A 20,661-nucleotide genomic window follows, 5' to 3' on the forward strand; every position below is an offset into this window, starting at 1 on the left:
ACCTCCACCTCCCAGGTTCAAGCAATTCTCCTGCCACAGACTCCCTAGTAGCTGGGATTACAGGTGCAAGCCACCACGCCTGGCTAATTTTTTTTGTATTTTTAGTAGAGATGGGGTTTCACCATGTTGGCCAGGCTGGTCTCAAACTCCTGACCTCAGGTGATCCACCCGCCTCGGCCTCCCAAAGTGCTGGGATTACAGGCGTGAGCCACCATGCCTGGCTATAAATTTCTTGAGATTCCAAAAACACAAATCATTTATTTACTTTAAAAAGTGGAGGTGGAGTATCTTATTTATCCTGGATTTCCAGCATTTATTCAATCATAGCTGAAGCTGCTTTAGGAGTAGTTTGTCATAATAAGTTTCATAAATAACAGGGTACAAAACTATTTCCTTTTGATAGTTTGCTATATTTAGAGAGATTAGTATTTGTTTATACGAAGGAAGAGGACATTAGTGAAATAAAGAGCTATGGCAAAAACTAAAGTTTATTTTTTAATTCCTTCTTTTTTTTTTTTGAGATGGGGTCTCACTGTCACCCAGGGTGGAATGCAGTGGCTCACTGCAACCTCCGCATACCAGGCTCAAGCAATCCTCTTGCCTCAGCCTCTAGAGTAGCTGGGACTACAGGTGCGCACCACCACACTTGGCTAATTTTTGTAATTTGCATAGAGATGGGGTTTCGCCCCATTGCCCAGGCTGGTCGCAAACTTCCGGGCTCAATCAATCAGCCTGCCTCAGCCTCCCAAAGTGCTGGAATTACAGGCATGAGCCACCATGCTACCTTTTCATTCTTTTTTTTTTTTTTTTGAGATGGAGTCTCGCTCTGTCGCCAGGCTGGAGTGCAGTGGCGCGACTCGGCTCACTGCAACCTCCGCCTCCCGGGTTCAAGCGATTCTCCTGCCTCAGCCTCCTTAGTAGCTGGGACTATAGGCATGCATCACCATGCGCAGCTAATTTTTGTATTTTTGTAGAGATAGGGTTTCACCATGTTGGCCAGGATGGTCTCGATCTCTTGACCTTATGATCCGCCCTCCTCGGCCTCCCAAAGTGCTGGGATTACAGGCGTGAGCCACTGCACTCAGCCTTTTTCATTTTTTTTCTTCAAGTAAAAATTGTTTTATTGTCATTAACATATTTAATATAAAAAGAAATGAAGCAAATGGCTCAGTGTTGTATTTTTTAAAAAATCCAGGTTTGTGCAGGTTACTCTATTTACATCTGGGAGCAGAGCTGTCCCCACGTCAGGCATAGCAGTTGCACTTCTCCAACGCCCCTTTGCAGATGCAGCCCTGGGCACACTTGGCACAGCCCACGGGGCAGCAGGAGCAGCAGCTCTTCTTGCAGGAGGTGCATTTGCACTCTTTGCACTTGCAGGAGCCGGCGCACATGCAGGAGCCACCAGTGGCACAGGAGCAGTTGGGGTCCATTTCGAGCAAAGGAGATGCTGGAGCTCCCACCGGTGAGGCCAACAAGCAGTCAGGCAGTTGGAAAGCATGCTGCCTTTTTCATTCTTAAGTTCCAGTTCCACAGTGAAGCTGGTCTGACCATAGTCACAGAGACAATAAACCCTAAAGACTTATGATCAGCATCCCTCTTGAAAGCTCATCTTATCTTTCCATACTTTTTCAATTCAAACCTATACCTTGAAATGTCTTGATAGGCTCCAGAATCCAAGAATACCAGGCCTCTATCTTATAAATTAAAATAGCATTAAGGCCATACCTCCCTTTCTCTCTTCTGACACATATTCTTTTTTTTTTTTTGAGACAGAGTCTCACTATATCGCCCAGGATGGAGCGCAGTGGCGTGATCTCGGCTCACTGCAATCTTCTCCCAAATTCAAGTGATTCTCCTGCCTCAGCCTCCCGAGTAGCTGGGATTACAGGCGCCCGCCACCACGCCCGGCTTTTTTTTTTTTTTTTTTTTAGTAGAGACAGGGCTTCACCATGTTGGCAAGACTGGTCTTCAACTCCTGACCTCTGGTGATTTGCCTGTCTTGGCTTCTCAAAGTGTTGGGATTACAGGTGTGAGCCACTGCACTCAGCTGTGACACATATTCTTCATGTAAAGATTCAGAATTTATCAGCACTAATGTCGACCATTTCTTGTAGTTCATGTTCATTTACCAAGAATTAGTCTCACACAAACAATCCAATATATTTATATAACTATTAGCCTTTCTGATTAATTCCAAATATGTCAATTAAGCGCTCAGATTACTCTAACAAGAAATATAATACTTGTATAAAATAACATTTTAGCCAGGTGAGATGGCTCATGCCTGTAATCTCAGCACTTTGGGAGGCTGAGGCAGGAAGATCGCTTGAGGCCAGCATTTTTAGACCAGCCTGGGCAACACAGCAAGACCTTTTCTCTTAAAAAAAAAAAAAAAAAAAAAAAAAAAAAACAGCCTGGCGTGGTGGCTCACACCTGTAATCCCAGCACTTTGGGACACTGAGGCAGGCAAGTCACAAGGTCAGGAGTTCGAGACCAGCCTGGCCAACATGGTGAAACGCTGTCTCTACTAAAAATACAAAAAATTAGCTGGGCATGGTGGCGGGCGCCTGTAATCCCAGCTACTCAGGAGGCTGAGGGAGGAGAATCGCTTGAACCCGGGAGGTGGAGGTTGCAGTGAGCAGAGATTGCGCCACCATGGGTGTCACTCCAGCCTGGGTGACAGTGTGAGACTCCATCTCAAAAAAAAAAAAAAATCAGCCAGGTATGGTGACACAGGCCTGCAGTCACAGCTACTTGGGAGGCTGAGGTGGGAGGACTGCTTGAGGCTGGGAGGTTGAGGCTCCAGTGAGCCACGTTTGCGCCACTGCACTCCAGCCTGGGTGACAGAGTGAGATTCTGTCTAAAAAAAATAATAAATAAATAAATGGAAAGTTATGAAAGTTAATCACACAATTTTTTTTTTTTTTTTTTTTTTGAAGACAAGGTCCCACTCTGTTGCCCAGCTTCTGGACAGTGGTGTGATGATAGCTCATTGCAACCTGAAACTCCTGGGCTCAAGTGATCCCACCTCAGGCCTCCAAGTACCAGTGCATACCACCATGCCCAGCTAACTTTTTCTTTTTTCTTTTTATTTTTTTTTTGTAGAGACAGGGTTGGTCTTGCTATGTTGCCCAGGCTGGTCTGGAACTTCTGTCTTCAAGCAACCCTCCCGCCTTAGCCTCCCAAAGCATTGGGATTACAGGCGTGAGCCACCAAGCTTGGTCTATGACACACATTTTTAAAAACATCAGTAATTGCAGGTTTCCGTGTTGCCATCTGCACTCTGTCCTCTATTCCAATACTCTCCCGCAATATTCAAAGACCTCAAATAACGTGTACAAAAAGCTAATAACATTTTCTGGGATTTATTCTACAGTTTGCTTGTTTATTTGAATGTACATGAGATGTTAATCATAGCAACTCAAGTTCTCAGGTTTATCATAGAGTCTGCAAATTGACTTGAGAATGATGCTGAAAATATAAATGACAATGTATCCCCTATGTTATATAATACAGGCTGTATTAAAACTCTTTTCAGAAAGAACAAAGTGAGAACAGGTCAGTCTATGAATGCAAATGATTCATATCCTGTAGGAGTTCTGGGCAAATTTACCCCACCTAGCTGCAAAATAACTACTAAAGATAAACAACGTGTCTCCTCAAGACAGTGACTAGCTTGTTATTTTGCATTAAATGGGAAAGTTACTGGATGACCTCAGAAAAGCACTAAGTCAACTTCTAAAGATACAAATTAAGTGGACATCCAGTAGGGAGCCTTGAACACTTCATCATCCATTCCTACCTCACATGGCAGAAGTAAATGTTTATTAACATTCCCCCAGCCCCCACTTCTTTTTTTTTTTTTTTTTTTTTTTTGAGACGGAGTTTCACTCTTGTTGCCCAGGCTGGAGTGCAATGGCGTGCTCTCGGCTTACTGCAACCTCTGCCTCCTGGGTTCAAGCGATTCTCCTGCCTCAGCCTCCCAAGTAGCTGGGCTTACAGGCGCCCGCCACCATGCCCAGCTACATTTTTTGTATTTTTAGTAGAGATGGGGTTTCACCATGTTGGCCAGGCTGGTCTCGAACTCCTGGCCTTCAAGTGATCCTCCTGCCTCAGCCTCCCAAAGTGCTGGGATTACAAGTGTGAGCCACCGTGCCCAGCCCACTTTTTTTTTTTTCTTGAAAAAGAAGAACATTGGATAGGATCAACAATGTCAATTTTGAGTGTGTAATTTGGTGCCAAGGAAGTAAAATAACCCCAAATTACTCATGAATCCACAGCAATCTATTACTACGACACAGAATTACTCAGGGCACGAGATTTGGCATTCCTGTTTTTGGGTACCTGGTCTGAGCTCTTGCCTCTGACTCATGCTGCATGACATGAAGCTATTAAAATCTCCAAACCGGCCTGGTGCAGTCACTCACGCCTGTAATCCCAGCACTCTGGGAGGCCGAGGCAGGTGGATCACCTGAGGTCAGGAGTTCAAGACCAGCCTGGCCAACATGGTGAAATCCCGTCTCAACTAAAAATACAAAAATTAGCCAGGCATGGTGGCGCATGCCTGTAATCCAGCTACTCGGGAGGCTGAGGCAGGAGAATTGCTTGAAACTGGGAGGCGGAGGTTGCAGTGAGCCAAGACCACACCACTGCACTCCAGCCTGGGCAACAAAAGAGGAATTCCATCTCAAAAAAAAAAAAAAACAATCTCCAAACCTTAGCTTCTATTCCACCAAATGGAGGTATAGGTACTTGTCACATTCAAACGTAGCTAAACACGTTCTAAAACTGCATGTGAGACCTTGTCCTCAAAGATATATGGCGTAAAAACATCGTACACTCTGTCCTACTTTCTGGCTTTTACATACTCTATTCCTTCTACCTAGAAATGTCTTGTCCTTACTTCTTGCCCTGACAAGTACCCATTTAAGAACCAACTCAGGTGTCATTTTCTCTGTAAAATATACTTAACCTCTCTAGGCAGCTCGTTGCCTACTTCGTGGGTGTGCACAATTATTTTATAACACTTACATTATAATGTAACTAACTGTTTATATGCTTGCCTTCCAAACCACACTGGACTTAAGGAGACATATCATCCACTTTTTAATCTCAGTCTAGTATACTGGTTCATGCTCAAAATACCTGTGTTGCATGAATGACAGAGACCCTCTCTTGTTTTGGTTGTTTGACCTTCCCTAGGACATTCTAGGTCTTCTCCTAGGCCATCACTCTGCTCTAAAGCAATCTTTTCAATGTATCCATGTATCTATTGGCTTATTATATGCCAGGTACTATAACCTAATCCTAAAATTTCATATAAACCCACTTTAGTGGTAAACCCCTAAGTTCTGAATACGGTAATCTTCTTCCCGAATAGTTGGAAAAAAAAAACCTCGCCTGGGCATGGTGGATCACACCTGTAATCCCAGCACTTTGGGAAGCCAAGGTGGGTGGATTGCTTGAGCTCAGGAGTTCGAGACCAGTCTGGGCAACATGGCAAAACCCCATCTCTACAAAAAAAAAAAATACAAAAATTAGCTAGGCGTGGTGGTGCATGCCTGTAGTGCATGCCTGTAGTCCCAGCTACTCAGGAGGCTGAGGTGGGAGGACGGCTACAGCCCGGGAGGTGGAGGCTGCAGTGAGCCAAGATCGTGCCACTGCACTCCAGCCTGGGAGACAGAGCTAAACCCTGTCTCAAAAAAAAAAAAAAAAGAAAAGAAAATACCTCATCCTTGAAACCCAATCTGCCCTGTCCACTTTGTTCCTTCTCTTCCACGTCCCATGCTGGTGCATCTCTCCTACTCTGCTCTTTTAGCTTAACCAATCAGTCAGGCTTGCTAATCAGAAGCTAAAAGAAAGGTGTAGAAAATTACATGCTGTGAAGAATACAGACACAGCTGGGTGCAGTGGCTCATGCCCATAACCCCAGAACTTTGTCAGGCAAAGGCAGGAGGATCACTTGAACCCAAGAGTTCAAGACCAGCCAGGGCAACATGGTGAAATCCCATCTCTACGAAAGACACAAAAATTAGGCCGGGCATGGTGGCTCATGCCTGTAATCCCAGCACTTTGGGAGGCTGAGGTGGGTGGATCACCTGAGGTCAGGAGTTCGAGACCAGCCTGGCCAACCTGACAAAACCCCTCTCTACTAAAAATACAAAAAAATTAGCTGGGCATGGTGGCGTGCACTTGTAGTCCCAGCTACTCCCAGCTACTCGGGAGGCTGAGGCAGGAGAATCACTTGAATCCAGGAGGCAGAGGTTGCTGTGAGCCGAGATTGCACCACTGCACTCCAGCCTGGGTGACAGAGTGAGACTCTCTCTTCAAATAACAACAACAACAAAAATTAGCCGAGTGTGGTGGGGCGCGGTGGCGTGTGGTGGCACATGCCTGCAGTCCCAGCTACTTAGGAGGCTGAGGTGGGAGGATCACCTGAGCCTGGGAGGTTGAGGTTCTAGTGAGCTGAAATTGCACCACTGCACTCCAGCACGGGCAACAGAGTTACAGAGTTAAACCCTATCTCAAAAAAATAAAAAATAATAAAAAAGAAAAAGACTACAGACCGCCCACCCCAGCCCCTGCTGCTTAAGTTCATACAACTTTTACTCATTTTATTAATTTCCTAAATCTTCAGAAACTTCATAAAGTGACAAGCTAGACCACAGCATTACTTAGCTTCAGCCCTGGAAAGAGATTTCCATTAGTATAAATTTGATTATGCTCCAATAGACTTCAGTGGTTAAAGAAATGTGTTCCTATATTATGTCTGTACTTTCCATCCCCAAGTCATGTAACATAACTAGGCTACCCATTTACAAATAGACCCCTAGTAGGCATCAGGGTGGTAGACATGCGCCAACTTGTCACAATGAACTGTACCCTTAACATCTTCATTTTTCCTGCCCTATTTAAGACCCATCTCTAGGCTAGACAACTCCAAGAGCCTCCTTATCTGCTCTCCCTATTCCCCACTCCATCCAAATTCCATTCTGGAAGGTTACTCTTTTGCTTAAAATCCTTCAAAGAAAAAGAAAAAAGAAAAAAAGTGCTTCAACCCAAAACTTATTTCCATGGCTTACACAGGCCTATCAACCTGAATCCAGTCCACGTTTTCAGGTTGATCTCTAGTCATTTCCCAGGTATGGGGTCTTGCTATTACCCAGGCTGGTCTCGAACTCCTGGGCTCAACTAATCCTCCCACCTCAGCCTCCTAAGCAGCTGGGACCACAGGTGCACACCACCATGCCTGCTCCTCTGTGAAGTCTTTCTTGAAACCATCATGCAAATTCTATTGTTCTTTCATCTATCTAAGAGCACCCGTATTTTCTTTAGTATTTATCATATGACATTTGAATAATTTTCTATCTATCTATGTATCAATTATCTGTCTCCTCTACCAGGTGAAACTTCCTATCAAGAAAACCATGTCTAAGTTCTTTTTGAAATACCCAGTACTCACCCAGGGTTCAACAGTGTATCATTCTGAAAGTATCTGTTGAAGCCAGGTGTGGTGGCTCACACCTGTAATCCCAGCACTTTGGGAGGGTGAGGCGGGTGGCTCGCTTGAAGTCAGGAATTCAAGCCCAGCCTGGCCAACATGGTGAAACCCTGTTTCTACTAAAAATACAAACATTAGCTGGACATTGTGGCACATGCCTGTAATCCCAGATACTTGGGAGGCTGAGGCAGAAGAATCGCTTGAACCCGAGAGGCAGAGGTTGCAGTGAGCTGAGATGGCACAACTGCACTCCAGCCTGGGCGACAAAGCGAGACTCCATCTCAAAAAAAAGTTGTCTGTTGAATTGAATGATCACCTGTCTATACTATTCTTGCTTATCTCTTTCATCTCTATTCTTCCTCTGAGAACTATGCTGCTCATATTTCTTATCTTTTTCATCAAAATTCATCTATGTACCACACTCTTCTAGAGCCTAATTGAAAGACTTTGTACACAGAGTTGTAGAAATGGTTGGAATATAGATATCCTAGTCTAGAGACATGAGCTCTCAATCTATTCAGAGCATAAGGTTTATGGTTAAATAAGGACACTAACCAAAGGCAGGCCAGCATGGTAACTATTAAAGGAGTTTAGGGAAAGTTTGAGTTAAGCCTTAAAGATGCTACAGAAAAAACAAAAACCTGTTTCCTGGTGATCTAAATTGGGGAAATTACATTATATTGAAGATTTATACTACATATTAGCATATTAGCATGTTTAAAGATTTAAGAAACTCATAAACTTGTTTTATTTTGTTTAACTCAGTATTTTCCAAGCTTATTTCCTCACAAAACATTTTTCTTTCAAGTAATGCCTATAACATACCTTAGGAAATAGTGATGTGAGTGAAAAATAGAAAATAAAATCAAAAGATGGTTGGAGATGGCCGGGCGTGGTGGCTCACGCCTGTAATCCCAGCACTTTGGGAGGCTGAGATGGGTGGATCACGAGGTCAGGAGATCGAGACCATCCTGGCTAACACGGTAAAACCCCGTCTCTGCTAAAAATACAAAAAATTAGCCAGGCATGGTTGCAGGTGCCTGTAGTCCCAGCTACTCAGGAGGCTGAGGCAGGAGAATAGCATGAACCCGGGAGGTGGAGCTTGCAGTGAGCCGAGATTGCACCACTGCACTCCAGCCTGCCTGGGCAACAGAGCGAGACTCCATCTAAAAAAAAAAAAAAGATGGTTGGAAACTGTAAAGGAGCTTAAATGATAAGGGTAGATCAAATAAGTTCTCAAAGACATAATAAGAACTCATCTTATAGGTTAGGTAGTCAATGAATAGTCTTAGGCAGGGGAGTGATACAGATGTTCTCCTTTAGTACAAGTACTTTGGCAAATCTGAGACAGATGTATTGGGATGGAGGTTGGTGTACGTGCACAAGAGGAGGGGGTGGTGTGGAGTTGGGGAATGCAGGGAAAAGTTGTGGAACAGGAGGTATGGAGCCAAATCAAGAGAAGAGGTTCAGGGAGGCTTCAGAAAGCAAAAATCCTCCTTCACTGACTGAAATTTGTCTTGCTCAAAGAGCTTGCTTGATCTTCCCTCATAAATGTGCTAGGGATGAAAAAAGCTTCCTGTTTATGGGATGGTCCAGTCTAGTTGTCTGGGAAGGCCAATAGCTGATACTGTTTCCTGGGATCAGGTGGGAGGAAGGATTCTGCAGAGGACAGAGGCAGCAATGAAAGGCTGGAGTGGTGGACCTGCACAAAGAATTTAGGTCAAGACAGCCTTATCCCTTCTTATTCATCTGTACAGAAGATCTGCCCCTGTACACCAGGAAATTTTCTGTTGCCTACTTTGCTCACCCGTCAGTCTCCTAGAGATTCTGAAAGGGTTTTAAGATTAGCAACAGGATACTTGAGAGGAAAACATTACAGTTACCTGACTTCGGGGTTTCTGAAAAGACATACTTGGGCAGAGACTCAAAAGCGTAAAAGATCAATTGTACCAATTATTAGCAATGAAACACTAGGCCCCATGTTTAAACTTCTCTGAACTGGTTTCTCCTTTATAAAATGCACGCCAATATCCACCTGGATGAGACTAAAATGAAATTATGTCTGAATGAGATTATAGTCTGAAGACTATAAAGAACTATAAAAAATCAGTTATTTGTATTTTGAACTAATTTTATCTCATTTGACAGCTTGTTTTAAGATTATACTAGGCCATATTGTTCTTAGTATATTAAATAATAATGTGAGGCCGGGCACAGTGGCTCACGCCTGTAATCCCAGCACTTTGGGAGGCCGAGGTGGGCAGATCACGAGGTCAGGAGATCGAGACCATCCTAGCTAACACGGTGAAACCCCGTCTCTACTAAAAATACAAAAAAAAAAAAAAAAAAAATTAACCAGGCGTGGTGGTGGGCGCCTGTGGTCCCAGCTACTCAGGAGGCTGAGGCAGGAGAATGGCGTGAACCCGGCAGGCAGAGCTTGCACTGAGCAGAGATGGTGCCACTGCACTCCAGCCTGGGTGACAGAGCGAGACTCCGTCTCAAAAAAAAAAAAATTATAATGTGAATGTTTTCCCACTGAAATTGGTTCCCTTATTTATGAATAAAATAAAACCATATTTGAGTGTAAGAGAAGAAAAATCCAAAACTCTTTGCTCTATCCTACAAATATTCTGTAAACAAATCATGAATCTCTGAATGTATGGTGTTCTTGTTATTATGAGTAATTATAGTAAAACTAATGATCAGAACCTGTAAGATTGCTCACATGCCCCCCTCACCCTACCAAATGCACATACAAACAAGGCAGAGGGGAGACCTGATCAATTTGGCTGGCAAGAACTTTATCTGTGGGCAGTAAAGATGGTCAGGTATGGGAATAGGAGGTAACTGGGACTTGGACTTCTCTTCTAGTGTTTATCAATGACCTCTACCAGCCCCAGAAGAATAGAACGATTTGTTTAAAAAAATAAAACAAAGGAGCAGTGTGCAGTGGTTCGTGCCTATAATCCCAGTTACTCAGGAGGCTGAGGTGGGAGTACTGCTTTAGTCAAGGAGTTCAAGGTTGTAGTAAGCCATGATCATGCCACTGCACTCCAGCCTGGGCACAGAGTGAGACTCTGTCTCTAAAACAAAACAAAACAACACTGTTCAAAACAAAACAAGGGAACCATGACATCCAGTAAGAACACAGAAGCTATTTTTTTTCCTGGCATTAAAAAGAGGCAGCAATAATCCCAGCACTTTGGGAGGCCAAGGCGGGAAAACAGCTTGAGCCCAGGAGTTCGAGACCAGCCTGGGCAACACAGGGAGACCCTATCTCTACAAATAATAATAATAATATTAATAATAATAATTAGCTGGGCTTGGTGGCATGCACCCGTGTTCCCAGCTACTTGAGATGCTGAGGCAGGAGGATCGCCTGAGCCCAGGAGATTGAGGCTGCAGTGAGCCGTGATTGCACCACTGCTGCACTCCAGCTTGGGTGACAGAGCGAGACGCTGTCTCAAAAAAAAAGAGATGCAAAGCCACTAGGCACATCCCAAGGGAGAACTCAGGCATCTATTTGGCAACTAACAGAATTTTAAAGTTACTCCCTATAACCACTTTCAACTGAAGATCTCAAAACACCGTGTAAACATTAATTAAACCTCTCAAGTCAGGAAAGAATTAGACCTATTTCAGATAAGAAAAATAACGTAGGTAGGAGGCTGTTAACAACAGGAATCAGAAAGGAAACTAGACTCTAGTATCTTTGGCTTTCTCCATGTTGTCCTCAGGCTACACTTAATGAAATGCACCCAAGCAGCAGCATCCTCAATAATGCGGCTATGTTGACAAGCAAATGCTTTTTAAAACAGGGGCTGAATGGAAGGAATATTGGCATTGGTTGGAATTAAGACCCCTGTTCTAAGCCTGGTTCCACCACTTACTAGTTATATGACCCTGAACAAGTCATTCAATTTCCTTAAACTTTAGTTTCCTCATTTATAAAACTATATCAAACCTAAACCTATCTCACAAGGTTGTATCGAATTAAATTATATATACCTGGCACACAGGTATTGAGAGGCCAGCTTTCTTCTTTCCCCAAACTCCACCTTAAGTCCGTAGATGACACATATAAAAAAATACATTGTTTATATATATAACTATATATATGATTATCATTCTTCTAACTAATTAAAAAAATAAAATCTGGAGGATACTAACATAATACTTGGCTAAAATAAGAAATGGCCTAATTTTTTAATAACTTCCAAATAGTTGAGAGTTGTCACCAAGCTTGAAAATTATTTTCTGTGCATTTTTATTGATGTGAGCAAAGACAGAAACTGACTTTAGAAAAATAAAAAAACAAACAGGGACCTTTTCCAGAAAGATGATCTGCCACATTTCTTAGAACTCAAGGAAACATCTCAGAAAGGAGTTAATGTACTATTCCAAAATTAACTATGCAGTGTTTTGTTTTTTTTTTTTCTTGAGACAGAATCTCGCTCTGTCACCCAGGCTGGAGTATAGTGGCCTGATCTCGGCTCACTGCACCTCTGCCTCACAGGTTCAAGCGATTCTGCCTCAGCCTCCTGGGTAGCTGGGACTACAGGTGTGCACCACCATGCCCGGCTAATTTTTCTATTTTTAGCAGAGACAGGATACCACTATGTTGGCCAGGCTGGTCTTGAGCTCCCGACCTCAGGTGATCCACCCACCTTGGTCTCCCAGAATGCTAGGACTATAGGCGTGAGCCACCGAGCCTGGCCTGTGTTCTCTTAATATTCGTTTGGTTAAGAAAACAGATCAACAGTATCTGTAAAACTTTAATATAAATTAACCTCAGAGGGCCAGTAAGATCACTAGACATAGACAGTTCCATGAACCTAAAAGGTCCTTCCTGATACTTATTAACTGAAAGTGAAAGTGAGCCACCATAAACACCATTCCTTTGACCACAACACTTCAAAGTAATTTAGAAACCCCATCTCAGTGAGGTTAAATAGCACACCCATTTCTAAACAAGTTTGGCAGAATTAAAAACAGAAGTTAACTCTTCTTACTCTCCTAGACACTCTAAGACAGCTCCTTTTGAAAGGAGACAACCAGCAGCATCATGGAGATTTCAAAACCACCTTGATATATAGGCTACAATTAAAAGTCCTTAACTCCTTTGAAGCTAAAGATCACACAACTTTTTACTAGCATTACGTTTACACACTGCAAGGACTCCCCAGCATCTTTTTGTCGCCAAAACATGACACACAAGAATAAAATTATCTGCCCAAGGTCACAGAACAGGTAATGGCTGTCTGACTCCCAACTACTTAAATGAGCCCCTCTTCCTGCGTGCAACCCCTTCATGGGATATACTGACAGTAACAATTAGACTTCTAAAGGCGGGGAGGGCGAGGAAGGTCTCCACTGAATGCTTCAGATAGCAAAATCTGGTGTATTATGTCTCTGCAGATATTGCATATTTTAATTTACTGCCCTTTAAAATTCAGCCTACATGGTGCATTAAAAAGACTGTCATCAAGAACTCAAGATCAAAGGGGTTCAGAAACACAATTTCTCCTATCACACCAACCTCTGGGCATTCTTCTCAGTGCCCCCATTGAGACTCTGGACAAAGAACATATCTGTCTACCCCTCACCCTACCCAAGGCAGCAAGGTAAGAACGACAGAGTGCCTCCCGATAGCGTGGCACAGAACACATAGTGCTCAGGGTACCCGAGAGCCTATTCCCCAGTCACCTCCATCCCAACTTTCAGCGGTGGTTGTCAGGGAGAACACGCCTTCTTCTGCAATGCTAAGTCTGTCCCTAGCCAAGTGGACACACCCCTCCGACGCGCTGCCCCCTCAGAATATTCTCATTCCCTCCTTGGCCAAATATCCCCTCCCCACTCTCATTAAGAGATACTCCCCACCTTGGCCGGGAGCGGTGGCTCACGCCTGTAATCCCAGCACTTTGGGAGGCCGAGGCAGGAGGATCACCTGAGGTCAGGAGTTCGAGACCAGCCTAGCCAACATGGTGAAACCCCATCTCTACTAAAAATACAAAGAAATTAGCCGGGTGTGGTGGCGGGCGCCTGTAATCCCAGCTACTCGGGAGGCTGAGGCAGGAGAATCGCTTGAACCTGAGAGGCGGAGGTTGCAGTGAGCCGAGATCGCGCCATTGCACTCCAGCCTGGGCGGCAGGGCGAGACTCCGTCTCCAAAAAAAAAAAGAAAAAAAAAAAAAGATACTGTCCTCACCTCCGGACAGAGGGCATTCCCCCAACAAAAAAACCGCCTCTCCCTGTCTCCTAACTTGGACAGCTCCCTTCCCCTCACCGAATGCTTAGCAGCCACCTCGAGCCCTGGGGCAGGGGGCGGGGTGTCGGGTGCGTTCACACCACTAGTCTGGGCTTGCCTGATGGTTACCACCCCGCCGAAGCTGCCGCCTTGCGGGTTTCCCTGCTTGGGACACCCACGCGGGGTCCCTGCTGCCCCCAGCCACGCCCCTCGGCTGCAGCCCGCCGCCACCCGCGCCACGCCCCCGCGCTCACCCGCAGTCCGGGGCCGGGCACCAGCGGCAGTCGGGGTCCGAGGCTAGGTAGCGGCGCAGCATGAACTCCTCGTACTTGTGCATAAGCGGCGGGTCGGCGAGCAGCAAGCGGATGTCGTGCGGGTTGAGTCGCTCGCTGCACTCGGGGCAGCTGATGGGCACCCTGCTCTCGCTTATCTCCAGGCGCAGGTAGTGGCGGAGGCAGTCCCGGCACGAGCGGTGCGGACAGCTGAGGAGGCGCGGGGCCCGCTCAGGCGGCAGCCGCACCAGGCACAGCGGACACTCCACCTCCTCCGCGCCCGGGCCACCGCCCTCCGCCGCCTCCTCATCGTCGAACCCAGGCTCCGCCGCCGCCGCCGCGGCCTCCGCCTCGGCCTCGGCGGCCGGCTCGGCGGGCAGCGCCTCGGGCGGCGGGCCCTGGGCCGCGGCAGGGGCCGGGGCGGGCGGCGGCTGCGCAGCCGGGGGCGGCGGCTCGGCCTGCGGCTTGGCCCGGGCGCGGCGGCCGCGGGCCGAGGCAGAGAAGACGCTGTGCAAGGTGAGGCGCCGGCGCCGGCCGCCGCTGCGGCACTTAGGGTCGGGTGCGGCCGCATGTAGCGATGTGGAGCGCGGCGACTCGGAGTCCTTCTCGGAGCCCATGGCCGGCAGAGGCCGAGGAGCCAGGGGCGCCCAGCGCCGCCACAGCTCCCGCCTCAGCGCCCCTCAGCCAGCGCCCGGCCGCCGCCGACGCCGCCACCACCGCCTCAACCGCCCTCCCGGCGATAGAAGCCGAGCGGCAACGACGAAGTGATTATAAAGCCTCCGCCCCGCGCGCCGCTGCCCTGCGCAGGCGCTTCGCTCAAACACCTCACAACCCTTGCGCCCCGGTCTAGGAGTGCGCTGGGCAGGGCCGAGCGGGGTGGGGCCGAGCGAGCTGGGGCGGAGCTCCGCCTCCTGCCGGTCAGGTGGTTCCAGGGCCGCCATGTTGCGGAGACTCTCAGAGATCCTAGCCCGCTGCTCTCCCTGGTCTCCGCCTCCAATTCCATCACCATGACACCCAAGGTGGACTTTTTGGTTTGCCGTTCCTCACAGGTTGATTGCCACTTCCAGTAAATGATGGTTCAGTTACATTATTTATAAAAAGCAGGCAGGGGTTGATCAGATGGTGACTCCCAACTGGTTCACCTTCCAACATTTCTGTTTATTAAGCAGACGGCATAAATTAATAAAGAATATATTCATTCACTGAGCTTCTACAAAGTGCGAGGCATTAGAAAATAAAACAGACAAGGTCCCCTATTGCAAGGGACTTCCAGAATAAAGTCCAAATTTCTTAGTCTAGCATTCAGTGTTCTCTATGTATTTAATAAACCCTATGTATATAATAGTCTATTTCTAGGCTCACTTACCATTCTATCCTCCTGGTATCTTGCTTACTTACCAAACTTGTGGAAGGAGACCCAGCGTTTTCTTGCCTGGCAGTGCCTTTGCCTTTCTTTTTCTAGTTCCCCATTCCTCTGACTGGGGGAGGATCTGGACCCTTAGGCTTCCTAGTGGGAGGCAGGCAAACAGCTTCAACAACAGGAATGTATCAGGATTACATTCAATTGCAAATAACAAAAGAAAAAAATAGCTTACGATTGAAATTTATTTATTTTTTTTCCTGAGACGGTTTTGCTCTGTCACCCAGGTTGGAGTGCAGTGGCGTGATCACAGCTCACTGAAGCCTCAACCTCCCAAGCTTAAGCGATCCTCCCACCCCAACCTCTGGAGTAGCTGGGAGCACAGGTGCGCCACCAGGCCTGCCTATTATTTTTATTTTTTTCATGGAGATGAAATCTCCCTGTGTTGCTCAGGCTGGTCTCGAGCTCCTGGGCTCAAGCGATCCTCCTGCCTTGGCCTCTCAAAGTGCTGGGATTACAGGCATGAGCCGCTGCACCTAGCCAGAAATTTCTCTCTTTCCATGAAATATAAGTCCAAAAGTAGGCAGTTCAGGGCTGTTCAGCCATCCTCAGTATTTGGCTTCCAGTGTTAAGGTCACCTCACTATGGTCCATATTCCAAACAGTGGGAAGGAAAAAGGGAAGAAAGATGCATCCTCTTCCTTTTAAGAAGACTGCCTTGGGGCTGGGCGCGGAGGCTCACGCCTGTAATCCCAGCACTTTGGGAGGCCCAGGCTGGCGGATCACGAGGTCAGGAGATGGAGACCATCCTGGCTAACACAGTGAAATCCCGTCTCTACTAAAAATATAAAAAATTAGCCGGGCGTGGTGGCGGGCGCCTGTAATCCCAGCAACTCGAGAGGCTGAGGCAGGAGAATGGCGTGAACCCAGGAGGCGGAGGTTGCAGTGAGCCGAGATCGCGCCGCTGCACTCCATCCTGGGCGACAGAGCGAGACTCTGTCTCAAAAAAAAAAAAAAAAGAAAAAGAAAAAGAAAGAAAGAAAAAAGGACTGCCTCGAAAGTCCCGCACATTTTTGCCAAAACATACTCACTCACATGGCCATACTCAGCTGCAAGGGAGCCTGGGAAACATTCTCTTAACTGGGTACAATGTGCCCAGCTAACAATGAGTGCTCTGTTATTAATAAGGAATGGTAAGATGGGCCAGGAGCTGTGGCTCGCACCTGTAATTACAACACTTTGGGAGACCTAGGCTGGTGAATCTCTTAAGCCCAGGAGTTTGAGACCAGCTTGAGCAACATGGCAAAACCCCATCTCTACAAAAAATACAAAAATTATCTGGGTGTGATGGAGTGTGCCTGTAGTCCCCGCTACTTGGGAGACTGAGGTGGGAGGAATGCTTGAGCCTGGGAGGTTGAGACTGCAGTGAGCCGTGATTATGCCACTGCACTCCAGCCTGGGTGACACAAAAAGACATCGTCTCAAAAGGTGGAAACCAGCTGTGATATTTTAAACCAGGTCTCCAGAACTTCAAACTTTTGACATAAAACAAGAAGGGGAGCCAACAAAGAAAACTGAAAAGCGGGGGCCAGTGACATAAAAGAAAAACTAAGCAGGCATGATGTCACAGACACCAACATAGTATGTTCCCAGAAGGGAGTGGTCAATTGTGACAAATGCTGCTGAGAAATCAAGAAAGATAAGAACAGAGATGTGACCACTGGATTTGGCAACACCAAAGAGTCCTAAAGGAGGGGGAGAGTTTAATCCTCAAATAGGAAGGAGGTTTGATGCTGGATGGCTAAAACAACAATTAATGTCTATATTTATCTGGCAGAATAGGCTAGACTTGGCTATGGTAACAAACAAGCCAAATTTCTCAATGGCATAACACACAACAATGGTATATCTTTTCCACTCATGCAACGCTGGCTGTGGGTTAAGGCACTCTCCAGAGTAGCTCTCCTCAACTCTCCTGGGTAACTCAGAGATCCAGACTACTTCTCTCTTGGGCTCCACTATCTCAATGCAAAGCTTTCAGTATTGCCTCAAAAAGAGAGCTGGAGGCCAGGCACGGTGGCTCATGCCTGTAATCCTAGCACTTTGGGAGGCCGAGGCAGGTGGATCACCTGAGGTCAGGAGTTCGAGACCAGCCTGGCCAACATGGTGAAACCCCATCTCTAAAAATACAAAAGTTAGCGGGGTGTGGTGGGGCGCCTGTAATCCCTGCTATTCAGGAGGCTGAGGCAGGAGAATCGCTTGAACCCAGGAGGTAGAGGTTGCAGTGAGCGGAGATTACACCACTGCACTCCAGCCTGGGCGAGAGAGCAAGACTCTGTGTCAAAAACAAACAAACAAACAAAAAAACTGCAAGGGAGGCTGGGAAATGTAGGAAGAAACCATAAGCCATTTAGTAAGCAGTAGTATCATCTCTGCCACAGTTTCCTATAGTCATCTTTGACTCTGTTCTCAGTGCCCAACGTCCTAATCAACTGCAGAGCCCCCTTAGAGGAGGTATATGCTTATGGTGGGAATGGAGGGTAGGAGAGACGGCTGCCTTGTTCCTTGGGTCAGATTGTGCTAAAAGATATGGGGACCCCCAATTCCAGGTAGACCCAGATGCCTTTTAGATGCTTCTCCTTGTGCAGCTGACAGAAACGGCTGTCAGAATCCCAGCTTGCTGGAAGGCTCAACACTACCAAATGTCTGCTTGTCTTGGCTCTGGCTTCCAAACAAATTCAGCCTCAGTTCAAAGCTGCCAGTGCTTTGGGGAAAATAACTTCTCTTAAATGCCACTAGACTTTGCAGTGGCCCCAACTTGATTGTGTTTTCTTCTCTCCTGAGACTATCACCCTTGAATAAAGGGACTAAAGCAATTCCTCCCACGTTTCCTTATGTGTCTCTTCTTGATAGAAACTGAGTAGTGACTCAGAGATGGCATGAGGGAGAAAAAGATTCTCACTCATCTGTACACTCATTCAGTAAAGATTTATTATACTTACTTGTGCTAGCCTCTTTGCTAGCTACCAGGGTCATGGAGATGAAAAACATAATCTACTGGGGGTTACAGACAAGATGGCAGATCACTGAGATACCAAGTGATGAGGACATATACAAAAAAGCTATGACAGACCAACAGAAGGCATGGCAGGCTCTGCTTAGGGTGGTCAGGGATGGCTTTCCTGAGGAGGAGCCCTTTCAGCTGGATCTCAAATGATGAATATGAGTTGACAAAGTCATAAGAAGGGGGAAGGACATTCCAAGCTTGGGGAGCAGGGAGGAAAGGCATAGTGTGTATAAACACAGGATAAGTCTGAGGAAGTATGAGCAGCAGGGTTGACAGGAGAAGAGAATGTTTGAAAGGACATGAGTGAGAAATGAAAATGGAAAGGTTCTGGCCAGGCATGGTGGCTCACGCTGTAATCCCAGCACTTTGGGAGGCTGAGGTGGGCAGATTGCTTGAGGTCGGGAGGTTCGAGACCAGCCTGGCCAACATGCAGAAACCCTGTCTCTACTAAAAATACAAAAATTAGCCAGGCATGGTGGCACTCACCTGTAGTCCCAGCTACTCGGGAAGCCAAGGCACGAGAATCACTTGAACCTGGGAGGCAGAAGTTGCAGTGAGCCAAGATCATGTCACTGTACTGTAAGCCTGGGCCACAGTGTGAGACTGCTTCTCAAAAAAAAAAAAAAAAAAAAAAGAAAAGAAAAGAAACAAAAAAGAAAATGGAAAGGTTCTGTATTATGGCTCCATTGGATGCAAGGACCAGAAGCCTAACTTGAATGAGGCTAGGCCAAAGGAGTGATTTTTGGCTTCTATAACCTTTTGAACCCTTTGTACCACAGCAACTGCACCCAGGAAAGCCCCCAGATCCTGCACTCCATCATTCATCTTTGCTTCTCTGCATGCTAGCTTCTTCTTTTTTTTTTATTGTGGTAAAATATGCATTACATAAAATCTACCATTTTAACCAATTTTAAGTGTACAGTTTGGTAACATTAAATAAATTCATATTGTTGTGCAACCATCACCACCATCCATCTCCAGAACTTTTTCGTTTTACCAACTTGGAATTCCATAGCCATTAAGCATTAACTCCCTCTTCTTCCCACTTTATTTTTTCAGTCTACTTCTCTCTCTTGCTGGAACTGTAGAATCCCTAGCTTATGTGTCCTAGCTTCCTCACCAGAGAGGAGTAATTATCTTCCCTTTGTTCCAGATTCTCAAAATTCTTCAGAACAAGTCTGATTGGTGAGGTTTGGCTGCATACCCACATCTGTGGTCATGGAGGATGGAATGCTATGATTGATAGGCAGTACCTGAACCATATGGCTGGACCAAAGGGAGGAGCAATTCTCCAAAAGGAAGGAGCTACTCTTTCACAAGGAAGGAGGGAGGGGCCAAACATGAGCAGATGAAATATGAAATGTTCATCAGAGATAGGCTGAGACCCAGCTACAGGAAGCCTTCAGTGCCAGGCTAAGGAGCTCAGCCTTTAGTCTATGAGGTATTATGGGACAGTTTAAATCAAGGAGAGCCATACATACCATGAAATTGGACTACAAAACCTGCTTTTTTCTTTCTTGAGGCTCTACTTTTGAGTTTTCTCTTGTCTTTTTCAAGGTTTTTGTTGTTGTTTTGGTTTTTTGTTGTTGTTGTTTTGTTTGTTTGTTTTTTTGAGACAGAGTCTTGCTCTGTCACCCAGGCTGGAGTGCAATGGCGCGATCTCGGCTCACTGCAACCTCCACCTCCTGGGTTCAAGCGATTCTTGTGCCTCATCCTCCCGTGTAGCTGGGACTACAGGCACTAATCACCATGCCCGGCTGATTTTTTTTTTTGTATTTTAGTAGAGATGGGGTTTCGCCATGTTGGCCAGGCTGGTCTTGAACTCCTGACCTCAAGTGATCTGCCCACCTCGGCCTCCCAAAGTGCTGGGATTACAGGTGTGAGCTACCACGCCCAGCCTCTTTTTTTTTTTTTTTTTTTTGACATGGAGTTTCACTTTTTCGCTTTTGACGGAGTGCAATGGCGCAATCTCAGCTCACTGCAACCTCTGCCTCCCAGATTCAAGAGATTCTCCTGCCTCAGCCTCCCAAGAAGCTGGGACTACAGGTGTGTGCCACCATGCCTGGCTAATTTTTGCATTTTTAGTAGAGACGGGGTTTCACCATGTTGACCAGGCTGGTCTCAAACTCCTGATCTCAGGTGATCTACCCGCCCCAGCCTCCCAAAGTGCTGGGATTACAGGCATGAGCCACAGCACCTGGCTTCAAGGTTGCTTT

General features: G+C 46.4%; 2 protein-coding genes across 8 annotated transcripts in view, besides 4 other annotated features; both read right to left on the minus strand.

Moving 5' to 3' along the window:
• Positions 1-14,760, minus strand: part of RNF19B (ring finger protein 19B) — a 35,774-nt gene extending 21,014 nt beyond the window's left edge. For all 7 annotated transcript variants that reach the window (XM_006710356.3, XM_047445558.1, NM_001300826.2 and 4 more), the window contains exon 1: positions 14,002-14,760. In XM_006710356.3, coding sequence (XP_006710419.1) covers positions 14,002-14,636 — 635 coding nt within the window. In that variant the 5' untranslated portion in view covers positions 14,637-14,760. The remainder of the gene's footprint in view (positions 1-14,001) is intronic.
• LOC107984936 (metallothionein-1E-like) lies at positions 1,159-1,760 on the minus strand. The gene has a single exon (XM_047437246.1). The coding sequence runs from the start codon at positions 1,428-1,430 to the stop codon at positions 1,245-1,247; it is 186 nt and encodes a 61-aa protein (XP_047293202.1). The 5' UTR covers positions 1,431-1,760; the 3' UTR covers positions 1,159-1,244.
• Positions 13,905-14,114: a silencer, noted in NCBI's record as "silent region_613". NCBI's record gives its function as "represses an Ori minimal core promoter by ATAC-STARR-seq in GM12878 lymphoblastoid cells {active_cell/tissue: GM12878}" and the evidence as "EXISTENCE:reporter gene assay evidence [ECO:0000049][PMID:35858748]".
• Positions 14,355-14,859: an enhancer, noted in NCBI's record as "H3K27ac hESC enhancer chr1:33430005-33430509 (GRCh37/hg19 assembly coordinates)". NCBI's record gives its function as "activates a minimal SCP1, AML or CMV promoter by ChIP-STARR-seq in naive H9 embryonic stem cells {active_cell/tissue: H9 hESC(naive)}" and the evidence as "EXISTENCE:reporter gene assay evidence [ECO:0000049][PMID:30033119]".
• Positions 14,355-15,044: a biological region, named in NCBI's record as "H3K27ac hESC enhancer GRCh37_chr1:33430005-33430509".
• Positions 14,475-15,044: a silencer, noted in NCBI's record as "silent region_614". NCBI's record gives its function as "represses an Ori minimal core promoter by ATAC-STARR-seq in GM12878 lymphoblastoid cells {active_cell/tissue: GM12878}" and the evidence as "EXISTENCE:reporter gene assay evidence [ECO:0000049][PMID:35858748]".

The sequence above is a fragment of the Homo sapiens genome, chromosome 1, assembly GCF_000001405.40.
Source record: "Homo sapiens chromosome 1, GRCh38.p14 Primary Assembly".
Taxonomy (NCBI): Eukaryota; Metazoa; Chordata; class Mammalia; order Primates; family Hominidae; genus Homo; species Homo sapiens.

What these genes read in the sequence shown, in the direction of transcription:
- LOC107984936 (XM_047437246.1), bottom strand. Translation starts at nt 1,430, where the DNA reads ATGGACCCCAACTGCTCCTGTGCCACTGGTGGCTCCTGCATGTGCGCC.